We start from the raw sequence: 14,360 nt of genomic DNA on the forward strand, positions 1-14,360 counted from the left end.
TGGAACCCTGAAACCCCTGACCTTTCTACTACTTAGAAAAAGAAGCCAAAAGCCCATTGATCTTCACATCCTGCCTCTGGGCAGCTGCGGCTGAGCTTTGGCCTTGGGAAGTCCTCCTTTGTCTGTGGCTGCCACCACCCAGCAGCAGCCTTTGGCTTGCTCTGACTTAGTTAGAGATACCCTGCCCGTGTTAGGGGAAGCTAGGTGATGGCAGTTTCTGTGCTGGCAGGAAGCCAGTATTAGACGCAATTGCTGTCTTAGGCCATTAGCTTTGCAAGGACAGAAAAATAGGCATCGGGAATGAGGGAAAGGAACACGTGTGAAAATGAAGGTGCTTATGAATCTGTGTGTTAGAGCATTTGGGGTATATTCAGGAAGGGTGAAGGAGCCAAATAGTAAATGTTGTTTCTTTTTTTTTTTTTTTTTGAGACGGAGTCTTGCTCTGTCGCCCAGGCTGGAATGCAGTGGTGCCATCTTGGCTCACTGCAACCTCTGCCTCCTGGGTTCGAGCGATTCTCCTGCCTCAGCCTCCCGAGTAGCTGGGACTACAGGTGTGTGCCACCATGCCTGGCTAATTTTTTGTATTTTTTAGGAGAGATGGGGTTTCACCATGTAGGCCAGGATGGTCTTGATCTCCTGACCTGGTGATCTTCCTGCCTTGGCCTCCCAGGCGTGAGCCACCCCGCCCGGCTGTAAATGTTGTTTCTTGAAGATAACACTGAAACGTTTTGCTTAGAAATAGGTTAGAAATATTCACTACCAAGATACTTTGACTTAGAAGTTTATTAGAAGAGGAAGTCCATTATCGACTAGACAGTTACAGTCGTCACAAACTGATATACAGTACTTGTTAGAATTATTCCGCTTTCTGATTAATGTATTACAACATATAAAAATTATGGAAGCTCCTTTTATTAATCTGGGTTATAAACTAACGTTGATATTCTTATGGTTAACTTAGGGAAGTTTTTTTGGCTTAAGAATATTAGAACAGGCTGGGCATTATGGCTCAAGCCTGTGATTCCAGCACTTTGGGAAGCTGAGGTGGGCAGATTGCCTGAACTCCCAGGAGTTTGAGACCAGCCTGGGCAACATGACAAAACCCTGTCTCCACTTAAAACAGAAAAAAATTAGTCGGGCCTGGTGGTGCACACCTGTAGTCCCAGCTACTCAGGAGGCTGAGGTGGGAGAATTACCTGAGCCCCAGGAGGTGGAGGCTATAGTGAGCCATGATCGCACCATTGCACTCCAGTCTGGGTGACAGAGTTGAGAACCTGTCTCAGAAAAGAAAAAAAAGAATATTAGAACAAAGCAAATTTGGGGGTTAGATTTACTGAAGGACTTTTAGAATTTTATATTTAGGAACATTAACTGAGAAAGGTTTAGTAATTAAAAGGTTGTACTCTAGAGATACTATTAGCAAATTTTCATTACTAGCTGGAATTTGTTCCTTTTACTAATGAGAAGGGTTTAAATAGGATGTATGTAGCTGTAGCCACGTGTGTGTGGCAGAATGATGCAGATATCCGGGTCTGTTTCTGTTGGACCTCTTAACCAACTGCAGAGGGAGGAAAGAGTAAATCCCGGCATTCTAACATAGCACGTCGTGATAGTGAAGGCTGTGATGACCATCAAAGCCACCCGGAAACGAGAGCTGACTGCATAAATGAGCCGAGTATGAACATAGCACGGTATTTTAATACATGTCCAAGGGATCTCTTCTAGATATTGTGTTAATAAAATGGTAAACTGAAAGGATGGGGAAAGGTTCTATGAGACTGTGTTTCATGTGTTGTAATAGTCCCAGTGGCTAGAAAGTGCCTGGCCCATGCTGGCCACTGCAGACATACTTGTTATGTGGGTTGATGAAAGAGGGGAGGAAGAAAATAAATGTAAGAGTAATACAAAGTCAGAGGAAGAAATAATCTACAAGAATGAAGAGAAATGCATTTTTGTTTTTATTTTTTATTTATTTTTTTGAGACAGGGTCTAGCTCTGTCACCCAGGCTGGAGTGCAGTGGTGTGATGATGGCTCGTGTAGCCTCAACCTCCCTGGCCTCAGGTAATCCTCCCACGTCAGCCTCCTGAGTAGCTGAAACTACAGCTGCACACTGCCACGCCTGGCTAATTTTTGTATTTGTTGTAGAGACAGGGTTTTCTTATGTTGCCTAAGCTGGTTTCGAACTCCTGGGCTCAAGTGGTCCACCCACCTCAGCCTCCCAGGTGCTGGGATTATAGGAGTAAGCCACTGTGCCTGGCCAGGAATGCATTTTTAAGACATAGTCAAGTACCCAGGAGACTTGGATATAAATGGTCATTGCTGGCTGCTGTCTCACTTTCTCACCTGATAGTACAACTCACTGAGAACTCTGGCTTATTTGTCTTTGAATCTGTAGACCATAGCACACGGTAGCTACCACATATTAAAAAGATATGGATTGCCAAGCACTGTTTTTCCTTGTAACAGCCCTATGTGGTATTATCCCCATTTTAAAAATAAAGGAAATGGAAGCTCAGAGAGTTTAAATAGCTTGTCCAAAGCCACGCAGTGGAGCTGGGATTCTAACTCAGAACCATCTGACTCTAAAGATAATATATATAATCTTCAGGCCAGGCTGTCTAGGTGCTCAGTAGATTGTGTTGAATGTAAAAAAAAAAAAAAAGGAGGAGGGTAGGTGTTAGGAAATAATTTACGGAGGAGAGGTGGCATTTGAACTGGATTGTAAATAAAAGTAAGATTCGGATGTGGTGAAATGGAGAGGGGTGGTGCTGAGGGGCAGAGTCTTCAGACAAAAGGGATAATCTATTTAAAAAGAAAAAAGAAAACCAGAGGTATAGACAGAGTGAAGAAGAGTTCTGGTTTTCTTCCATAGGATGCAGTTGAAGATAGTAGAGAACATGGTGTCAAGGTAATTGGGGTGTAGATTGTAGAGGTCCTTGAATGCTAGTCTGAGGTGTATGGACTTGACTTTGGAGGCAAAGTCAATCCATCAGACTTCTTAGTAAGAAGGACCAAGAAATATGGACCTAGAATTTGGAAGAAAGTCAGGGCTAATGATGTCTTGAGGATGCTTGCCTAAAACTCACAGTAATGCTCTTTTGGACAAGAGGAGACTGAAACTCCTGTAAATGAGAGAATTTTTGTTGTTTTGTTTTTGTTTTGTTTTGTTTTTGAGATGGAGTCTTGCTCTGTCACCCAGGCTGGAGTGCAGTGGCACTATCTCGGCTCACTGCAAGCTCCGCCTCCCAGGTTCACGCCATTCTCCTGCCTCAGCCTCCCGAGCAGCTGGGACTACAGGTGCCCTCCACCACGCCCGGCTAATTTTTTGTATTTTTAGTACAGACGGGGTTTTACCGTGTTAGCCAGGATGGTCTCGATCTCCTGACCTCGTGATACTCCTGCCTCGGCCTCCCAAAGTGCTGGGATTACAGGTGTGAGCCATCGCGCCCAGCCCCTGAGAGCATTTTTAAATGAACTGTAGGCCTTGACTATAGGAGCATAATTGTGTCTCAGTGTCCCTGGTAAACACTTCTTTCCCCACTCAGTATTGGTCGCAAAGAAAGAACATCCAATTGGAAAAGGCAATCGGGTTTTATTCCCTGGCCAGAAAACGGAGAAGGTGAGCTCTTGTGCTAAATGTACTTTCTCCCCAAGCAGTAGAAGGCATAGGGGGACTAGGTGTGGGGCGGGAAAGGAATGTGAGCATGTATGGGATGGGACTCCAGACGTGAAGGTGCTATCCATGAACATATGCCTTCATATATTATATGTGCATGAAATGGCAGGGATTTTCTTTCAGGGGAGGGAGTTTTAGCATTGTAAAGATATGCTGATGATCTAAATGCAAATAGGAGTCACCTATTCCAGTTTGTGCTGGTTTTGCGAGGTCTTCCTCTGGTATCTGGTCAGGGGTCAAGAAGCTCTGGTGCCATCTCGAGCCATCTGGTTTCTTTAAGCAGCTGTGCCTATTGATAAAGGAACTAAAGAAAAACAGTTAAAAAAAAACAAAAACAAGAACTAAGGACCTTTCCCGGTTATTTCATCAGGGCTGCCCTGGTAACATCAATATTCAGAAAGAATGGCAAACATAAGCTGCCAAACAGATGACACCTTAATGGTGTCATTGCTTTCTCTTGACATTTGATTGTCATCTAGATTCTGAAAAACCCTTAGAAAATGAACACCTTATGATTTCTTTAAAAAATCAGTGTTTCCATTTGTGTCAGTTTCTGTCTTGATCTTTTCTGACACAAAAACTTTAAAACTTAAACTGCACTCCTGGGCATCTTCAGCGGTCTCAGCTCCCCGCCGTCACCAAGCATCTCTCTCCAGGGAGGCCTCCTTTTCCGGGGTCATCACCGGGGTTAAAATACATCACTTTAGCTTCATCTGCCATAGCGTCAAAACTTTGGAAACTGTTTCTCTTCTAATTTAGTTAAAATATCTACCACCGTTTACTGAAATAATTACACGTTTACACCAGATATAACAGCTTTCTTTCATCACAACAGTTACGTCTTTTAGTTTTGCATGTTTTAGAATTCATATCAATGAAATAATACGCATTTTTTCACGATACGGTTTTCTTTTCTACATAACATTAGATTCTTGAGATAATTTATATCGTAGACCATATAGTATTCCATTGTGTGAATAGAGCAGGATTTATTTATCCATTCTGGTAATGATGGACATATTTCATTATTACAGACAGTGCTGACTTAAACTTATATATGCTCCTTGTGCAGATGTGTACGTTTCTCTAGAGCAATGGCTCTGAAACTTGACCGTGCCTCAGAATCACCTGGAGGGCTGTTTAAACACGGATTGCTGGGCTCCCACCCCATTGTTTCTGATTCAGGAAGTGCGGGGTGGGTCCCCATAATTTGGAGTTCTAACAAGTTCCCAGGTGCAGTGATCTATTAATTTCAGAACTAATTGCTTCAGAGTCTAGCTCTAGCTGCAGAATTGCTGGAGTGAAATAGAGAATGCAAATTCCTCTTTAATTTGTAATGCTAGACTGTTTTCCTATCAGCAGTATGAAAGAGAGTTGTCAGACTTGAATTTTTGCCAGTCTGGTGGGTGTTAATGATTTCTTATTATGTGGCTGAAAGAGGAAATCTAGATGCCTTTTTATTTTCCATGTTAACCTTTGCAGAATATATAGGGCTTGCCCACTTTAAATAAAGACTGTTAACCAGTACACAAGATACACAGACAACATACACACAGAGGTAGTGTTCCCCAGAAAAAACCTGGTGGTGCTGATCAAATTCAGTGCCAGTTGCCTAAGAAGCATTGTAGATAATTACTGTGATTTTAAATATTTTTCTTTTCTTTCTTCTTCTTCTTTTTTTTTTTTGCTCTGTTGCCGAGGCTGGAGTACAGTGGCATGATCTCAGCTCACTGCAACTTCCGCCTCCCGGGTTCAAGTAATTCTCCTGCCTGAGCCTCCCGAATAGTTGGGATTACAGGCATGTGCCTCCCGAATAGTTGGGATTACAGGCATGTGCCACCATGCCTGGCTAATTTTTGTATTTTTAGTAGAGCTGGGGTTTCACCATGTTGGCCAGCTGGTCTCAAACTCCTGACTCAAGTGATCTGCCTGCCTCGGCCTCCCAAAGTGCTGGGATTACAGGCATGAGCCAGAGCGCCTGGCCATGATTTTAATATTTTTCCATTGCTCTTTTTCAAAAGGATCCGAGGAAAAATTCCACTTTAGTGAGGAGCCTTGTTTAAACAGAAGATACTCCTTTTCATTGAAGTCTCTCTTTACTCGTGCAGAAGGCTCACTGGGAAAAAGCTGGCTGGACATCACAGTAATTTTATTGTATTCCTCAGGGAAGCTGCCTGAAAGCCAGATCTTAGGCGACCTTTTATTGAACAGGTTTACATTCTAGACAAGAAGCTGTGGCAGTCAGTCCCCTGTTCCGCAGTGTTGCTTTTTGAGTGTGTCAAGGCCCTGTTTCTGTCAGGTGGTGTTAAACTCTCTTGCTGAGGTGTGGTGGACACCCCGAGAGCCCGTGCACAGTGCCAGGGTCCTCAGTGGTTCTGATACCTGTAGGAGTGACACTAATGGTCGGCTCTCTTTCAGCTTTCATGACGCTGGTCATTATCTTGCTGCATGTATTCTGGGGCATTGTATTTTTTGATGGCTGTGAGAAGAAAAAGTGGGGCATCCTCCTTATCGTTCTCCTGACCCACCTGCTGGTGTCAGCCCAGGTGAGTGTTGCCGCCATGCTCAGACTGTATTCTGGAACTCAAGTCTATGTATCTAAAATGGTAAATTCTACTCTAGATGAAATACACGCTCATGAGAACATGAGGAAATTCAGAAAAGCTATTTAAGTGAATGAATGAGTCATGTAAGTCTTACCACAAAAAGACCACCACTATTAATTTTTTGGTGTGTCTTATTGAAATATTTTTTTCCCTGCTGTTTATTTGCAGTGATTTGTCTCTCTCTAACCTAGGTCAGTTTGGAAAACTGTTCATTCTCTGTGACAGCTGCGTGGAAAAGTTGCGTATTCCAGACTCGGCACCATGACTGGACCTTATTCCTAGCTCTCGTATAACACATGTGTCCTTGGCTAGCATATTTTATTTAATATAGTTTTTATCTCTCTCTCTCTGTTTCTAATTAGAGTATGATAATCAAGGATGGGGCCTTATCTTCAATCTTCGTATCCTCAATTCATGGCACATAGTAGGTGGCCAGTAAATGTTGGTGTATATTGAATAGTTGATACTATTCTTTTTAATGATTAAAAGGAAAGAACCTAGGAAGTTTGAAAAGTATATACCAAAATGTTCATAGTAGTTCTCTGTCAGTGGCAGATTTCAGAGAATGATTACATAATTGTTTTATTAAAATAACACACCTACAGAAAAGCACACAAATCAGAAATGTACATCTTGATGAATTTTCACAGTGTGAACACACCTGTGTAACTAGCACCTAGATGAAAATCAAAACATTCTCAGCCCCCAGGAGCCTCCCTGTTCGACCAGTCACTGCCCCCACTGAGGGTGACCATGACGCTGGCTTCAACACCACAGCTTGGTGCTGCCTTTTGGTATTTCTGTCAACAGAGTCACACAACGTTTGCTCTTGTGTCTGGCTCCTATTGCTCAGCATGTTTGTGGGATTCATCTTCACATCACTATAGATGGCTCACTCATTGCTGTATAGTATTCTACCATGTGTCTATACCATAATTTACCCATTTGACAGCAGAGAGGCATTGATGTTGTTTCTAGTTTGAGATGGAGTCTTGCCCTGTTGCCCAGGCTGGAGTGCGGTGGCACGATCACGGCTCATTGCAGCCTCGACCTCCTGGGCTCAAGTGATTCTCCCACCACACCCTTCCAAGTAGCTGGGACTATGGGCATGCGCCGTCATGCCTGGCTAACTTTTAAATTTTTTTGTAGAGATGAGCTCTATGTTGCTCCGGCTGGCTTCGAACTCCTGGGCTCAAGCGATCCTCCTCTCTCAGCCCCTCAAAGTGTTGGGATTACAGGCATGAGCCACCACCCCTGGCTTTCTCATTCTTATCTATTGTGAATGGTACTGCTGTGAACGTTCTAATGTATATCTCTTGGTGAACACACACACACACACACAACACACACACACACACACACACACACACACACACTTCTTTTGGGTATACGCCTAGGAGTGGGACTGCTGGGTCATGGGGTGTACATGTGTCGACTGTTCATACCACTCAATTTTCAGAGTGATGGTATCACCTTACACTCTGCCATCAGTTTACAAGTTGTGGTTCGTCCACCTCCTCACTGCATTCTCTTTATTGTTAGTCGTCCTGCTGGCTATGTCATGGTATCATAAATACATAAATTGATAAATTATAGTAAAAGTTTTCATTTACGTTTCCCTGATGATTAATAGGTTGAGCCCCATGTTGTGTGGCTCCGTTGACAGAAATACCAAAAGGCAGCACCAGGCTGTGGTGTTGAAGCCAGCGTCATGGTCACCCTCAGTGGGGGCAGGGACTGGTGGAACAGGGAGGCTCCTGGGGGCTGAGAATGTTTTGATTTTCATCTAGGTGCTAGTTACACAGGTGTGTTCATGCTGGGAAAATAAGGTTGAGCAAGTCTTCAGATGTTTATTGGCCATTCGGATAATTCTTTTTGAAGTGCCTGTTCAAATCTTATGCCTATTTTCTTTTTGATTTTTAGGAGTTCTTTATGTTTTCTGTAAAAGAAAAAATCTTTTGTCAGATGTATGTATTGCAGATAACTTCTGTGGCATGGTTTGTCTTTACATTCTCTTAATGTCTTTCGGTGAACAAAAGTTCTTAATTTTATATAGTCTGATCAGTTTTTCTCTTTATGGTTTCACTTTTTGAGCTTTTTAATAAATATTAACCTAGCTGAATTTTAAGTTTTAAAATTTGTTCTATTTTTCTCATTTTTGGGTTGTAATTTTCTACAACAATCATGTATTGCTTTTGTAATTGTTTAAAAGAGGAAAAATGTTTTTTAAAGAAGAGAAGAACAATACAAAACAGTGCAGCACTCTGTAAAATGAGTTAAAATTCAGTGGATTTGAGGTATAGAATTATTGTGAAGAATAATCTAGAAAATGCTCAATGCCTGCCATGCCCACGGAGGCCTCTTGAGAAGAGCAGTCTTTCTGCATAAGGTGCTACCTGTAAAATCTACCACTTTCTTCAGGCCTTCTTTGACAGCCCTAAGGAGATCACCTTGTTTTTACCCATCCTAGCCTCATCGCAATTATAATTATGCTGTCCTAGCATTCATCACAATTTGTGACTAATTGTTTCTTCATTCATTACCTGCCTCCCTTACTAGTACAGAACCTCCATTAGGATAGAAACTTTGGTCTCACCAAGGTGTACACAGTACCTCTCAGCATTCCATTAGTGTTCTTTAAATGAATACACTTTTGGAACCCACAGCAATTGTGCAACTGAAAAAGACTATTCCCTCATGTTCCCTTGAGTACTAAGGATTCATACTAAAGTAATTTGGAGTTGTCTCACTTTCTTGCAAATTCTAAGAACCAATTTAACACAGAAATGAATAGAAACTAGTTACACGACATGCATCTTGTATTGTATATTCCATTAGGTTCTGCCTAATGACTGCCTTCTAGGGTTACCATCTGAATACAGCAAAACACGGGACCCACAGTATCTGCTGACCAGCTTAGTTCTACATGCCTCAGGGCCTTAACGCATGACACACATCATACGTTTGGTGAAACACACCCAAGTTCTTGAAAGTATTCCATGCTTCCCTTTATCTTTGGTTATTCCACATGTTTAATAAGCTTGCTGTTATTACCCAAGCTGATTTATTTTTCTTTTGCAGACCTTCATAAGTTCTTATTATGGAATAAACCTGGCGTCAGCATTTATAATCCTGGTGCTCATGGGCACCTGGGCATTCTTAGCTGCGGGAGGCAGCTGCCGAAGCCTGAAACTCTGCCTGCTCTGCCAAGACAAGAACTTTCTTCTTTACAACCAGCGCTCCAGATAACCTCAGGGAACCAGCACTTCCCAAACCGCAGACTACATCTTTAGAGGAAGCACAACTGTGCCTTTTTCTGAAAATCCCTTTTTCTGGTGGAATTGAGAAAGAAATAAAACTATGCAGATATGCGTTCCATTCACTTGGCTTTCACACAACTGCTCTCCGAAAGGGGTGCTCAGTGGTGTGCGTCCTGGCTGCACGAGAATCACCTGGGACAGTGTAAAGCCGACTGATTCTGGGCTCCACCTTCCAGAGCTAATTGGCCTGGGCACGTGGTGAGTTTTAAAAGCTTCCCAGGTGATTCTGATGTGCAGCCATGTTGAGACCCACTGGTTTGGTATCCAAATAGGAGCTTCCTGAGAACACCTTAAGTGGATGAGAATCTGGTCTTTAGCTGTCTCCTAACTCAACTCGTGCTGAGCAAGTAAGTATCTGAATGTCAAATCCTGGTTATCTTTTATCTTCCTAAGTTCTGAAGTCACAAAAGGCTAAAGGGCTATCACCCCTGCTCACTGTTTGCGTGTACTTCACCATCTTAGGAGAACACGGTAGGTTGGGCTTCTAAATGCAATAATAAATTACGCTGACTGTGGTAACTTAGCCAAAGTAAGATACTGATTAAGCCGTATTTTTCTGAAGTGCTTCCATTCCAGGTTTTGCTTTCTGAGGCATTACATTGTTTTTGAGTATAGATTACATTTTATTAACTAAAAATGATTGTTTTGTGACTTCCTTGGGAAGGTATTTTAAAATCAGGAATTTTTATGCAATGTCTATAAGCCTGTTTAAAGCTTTCCATGGGCTCTGCCCCAAGGCCGTTGGCTGCAGCGTTCACCATCTGAGTGCCAGTTGCTGGACTAGTTGAGGTGAAGTGCATTGTTTTCTCTCTGAGCAGCTGTGCGGGGAGCTGAGTGATGTGCCCTGGGACAGGCTTCACTGGAGCTGGTGGAAGTATAACCAGAAGCACAAGGAAATGAGCCAAAAGGGTGTCATTGACACTTTTCATTTGCTCCTGTGATACTAACAACACTTTCACCCAAATGGCTTAATGTAATATTGGAAATAGATCTTAAACTGCCAAATCTCACACTATTGCATAATCCATATGCTCTTTAGATCTAGTCAGTGTCTCTGGGTTTTGGTAGCAGATACAGCGTTCCCTTTACAGGAATACCCAAGGTGTTCTTTCAGCTTCCAGACAGGTCCTTTGATTTCCTTTATAAAGGGAAAATTCTGGCAAATCGTGCCTTTACTATTAGAAATTGTTCCCAGTTGATGTCTTTTGGGGAGCTGGTGGCATGAAATGCAAATGACCTATACATTAAAGTGATGTCTCAGTGAATACCATACATGCAGTAGAACATTCAGAAGAGAGGAGCAGCAATCCTGAGGGGCTGGGGGAGTGACAGTGGCAGGACGGATGGGCGGGTTTGACAGATTGTGGTGGGAAGAAGAATGATCATGTTTAAAGCTAACATAGCCAGTGTTTTGGGCTAGCCACACATCATTCCAGAGACCAAAACCTTACTCATGAACTAGACCTTTATCGATATCAGTGAACCCCCATGTTTAAAATATTAGAATGTTTAGAGATAAAATAGAGATAATAGAGATAAAAGAAGAGGAGGGCTTCTATCAATGCTGTAAACAGTCTGATAAGCGACTGTGGTTATTCCCCTAAAGTTTACTTCAGCACTAACACTAGTGCTTCCGCTGGAGTTTGCAGTTTTCCAGCTTTATACAGGATTTTCCTTTGACTGGAAGAGTCAAGGATATAGAGACTCAACAGTGACATTTATTGTACAACATCAAGGGGAATAGGATACTCATCAAACTGGGATTATTCTTATCAAAACATGGTCTTCTTTGAATAAGAAAAATACATAGTTGGTTATTATGGACTTAAAACTGTGTTAAATGGATATTCTGATAAAATATTTGCTGCTCTGTAGAGTGTGGAAAGTCTGAGAATATTAGCTTTACTCATCTTGAGCTTTGAGGATGTTCTCTGTACGCCGATGGTTTCATATTAACTAAAAAAGCTGGGTATTGTAAAATCTCATTTATAAAAACTCAGATGAGAAGAAAATTTTCTTTGATGGTGAGACTGTTGTCTTAGTTCAGGAAATTATTTAATAATCCTTTGTTACCTGTGAATGAAGGAACTTTGTAATTCTGATTTATCGTAAAACATGAGCCTTTCCAGAGTCAGCTTAGACACTGTTGTCGCAAATAGCCATGCTTTGCCTTATGCCAAGGAGGCCCAGAGGGAGGGCCTAGTCTTCCTCTGTTGCTGTACATATATTGAAATGCTTTTTTTTTTTTATTTTGCATTTGTTATCTATAATGAGCTTTCTGAGCCCTGATATTATGTGAGACAAACAGGAGTTATTGATGTTATACACTCCCTTCCATTCAGGATTTTCTGCTTGGAGGGAAATATGTTGACCTTAGAGAATTGTGAATATTGTTGCAATTCTTGAATATATTACCATGTGAATAATAGAGACTGTGTTGCTCTCTAGTATAAGCTATATTTATTTTTGATTCATTTGAATTACTAGTTATAACTGGAGAAATTTTGTTACCTCTATCCTGGCTTGCCTGACTGGCTGTATAATAGCAGCAGCCTCTTTTAGAGCATCTTAATGAAAACATGGATGAAAGGAATTAATGATGATATCTGCAGACTGCGTAGAAAATGGCTTTTGTTCCCAGCGTTAACATTTTCTTCTCAATCACATTTCAATGTTTGTGGAGAGTGGCAGATTCACACCAGAAACACTAGGTGTTCATATCCATAGCATGGATGCAGAATAAGCAGTTGGGAGAGAAGCTTCTTCCTACCTGGTACTCCTCCCATTCACCTCAGCCCAGCCCCAGACAGGCGTTAGCATTCAGTGTGGGCCCTCAGGCAGCCCTGAAGCCTGGCTGGGTCATCAGATGGGGGCAGCCTGTGACGGGCACCAGCGGCCTGATTCCAGGGAAGAGTTCCTGGAGGGTGTTGGCTGTTTTTGTTAGCTCAGTTTTTTTCTGGGCTCCACCATTCCTAACTCCAGGTAGACAAGATAGATGTCACACACAACAATTTTAAAGTATTTTGCTTAGTGCATTTTGTTTATGATTGCAGTGTTTGTTTCTTATTTAATAGGCTTTTTACTTCATTCTATTAAATTTTAGTGTTTAGAAGAGGCGGGTACTGTCACTGTGTAAAATATGTAATATTTTATATGTTATACCATGTCATATATACTTGCAATATCAGACCTTGCATTCAATATACAATGCAATTGACTCTTTGCAGACCTGCATTTTTCAGTGAACAATAAAAAGATTGTCTGGCACTCCTCATTTCCTGTGTTTCCTGTTCTGTGGAATGGTGTATCCTTCAGTATGTTACTACCGTGTTTTGTCTCCTTATGAAACTTGGATGTACATTCTGTTGTTTATGACTGATCAGTTCAGAGACTTTTTTCAAAGAGAAATTCTTTATCTGATTTAAAACTCCTAAGGCTTATTTCATATCTGTGTGTTTAGGAGTAGTTTGGTTCAGAGCATTTCCTTGAGGTATCTTAAACCAAGCCGGGGGAATCCTCAAAGATCCTGGAAGCTTGCTTTGCAAAATCTCCTAATTGTAAAATGGTGAATTTAAAGAATGTTTGTATAATAGTGGCTAAGGATTGGAGTCCGGTGAAGAGGAGAGTACAATTTAGCTTTTACCTGGTGATTCTGAGTAGCCTATAGAGTCCTTTTCTCTTTCTTTCCCTTGGTGAGGAGACAGTGCAGCTAAAGGGTTGAGCTTGGCCCTTGCCATCAGACAGGATACATAGGGGATTATGATACGATACTCAAAACCATTTGATGCTTGTTCACTCTGGCTTGAAATGAGGCTGTTGCAGGCTATGTTGATGACGTTATTGGATGAAACGTTCTCAGGTCCCAAGGGCTCTTTGCTTCTAACCTGTAAACCAGTGGAAGAGGTGGGCATTCCTCAGGTATCAGCCCAGATTCCTGTACAATTTCATTGGCCCTTAAACACTGAATTTTGGTTCTAATTTAATTGTTACTTGTTTGGCATTTAGTTGGAATGGAGATTTCCCTATGACCAGCCTCAACACATGAGAAACCTCTAATGGAAAGAAGTGCATATTTTACTTTCACCTCTTTGAAAATGCTGAATAGAAGGAACCTCTGGACAGGTTGTGGTCCCAGTCTCAATAGAAGAATTAGATACATTGTAAGGTGACCATAATAGATTATGAGTCCCAAGCAGATCCTGGCTTTAATGCTCAATTAATTTATAAGTGGTACTTGTTGCCTCAGTGTGGATCGCTGTAAATCCTTCTAGCTACTAGTAAAATTACACATTTTTTAGAGCTTGCACAAAATCAGATGAAGTTTACAGTGCTTATTCAGGGCTTACCATGCACAGAATACTGCTTAGGCACTTCAAAAGGATGGAAAAGAACGAGATGGTGGGGATCTTTGTCCTTGGAAAACATATAATCTAACTGCACAGATTAAAACACCTAAGTATTATTTTAAGGCAACTACAAAATGCACTACAAATTATGGAATAATATAGAATAGCTTGACTACTAAGATGATGCTTAATTTAGAAGTGGATGAAGGGCACTGGGTAGTGGATATAGATAGGTGATAGCTGAGGACTGAACCCTGGGGGCAGTCAATTGAAAGGTTGGAAAGGAGAGAAGAAGGAAGGAAAACCAAAGGAGTGCAGTGGCTTGACAGCCAGTGGGGAAAGGATGTCAAATGCTGCTGGATAATGGGTAAGAAGAGGAGAGAGAATTGATTGTTTTGTATGGAGAGATGG

The 14,360-nt window shown here is 41.7% G+C and overlaps 1 protein-coding gene across 5 annotated transcripts in view; it reads left to right on the forward strand.

Moving 5' to 3' along the window:
* APH1B (aph-1B gamma-secretase subunit) overlaps positions 1 to 12,877 on the forward strand; it is a 31,522-nt gene extending 18,645 nt beyond the window's left edge. For 3 of the 5 annotated variants that reach the window (NM_031301.4, NM_001145646.2, XM_024450085.2), the window contains 2 exons: positions 6,096 to 6,223; positions 9,365 to 12,877. In NM_031301.4, coding sequence (NP_112591.2) covers positions 6,096 to 6,223; positions 9,365 to 9,532 — 296 coding nt within the window. In that variant the 3' untranslated portion in view covers positions 9,533 to 12,877. Of the gene's footprint in view, positions 1 to 6,095; positions 6,224 to 6,474; positions 6,937 to 8,088; positions 8,421 to 9,364 lie in introns of those variants that run through there. The other 2 variants (XR_007064490.1, XM_011522105.4) reach the window with 2 other exon arrangements.
* Positions 12,878 to 14,360: the final 1,483 nt, after the last annotated feature.

The sequence above is a fragment of the Homo sapiens genome, chromosome 15 (genome assembly GCF_000001405.40).
Source record: "Homo sapiens chromosome 15, GRCh38.p14 Primary Assembly".
Classification (NCBI taxonomy): domain Eukaryota; kingdom Metazoa; phylum Chordata; class Mammalia; order Primates; family Hominidae; genus Homo; species Homo sapiens.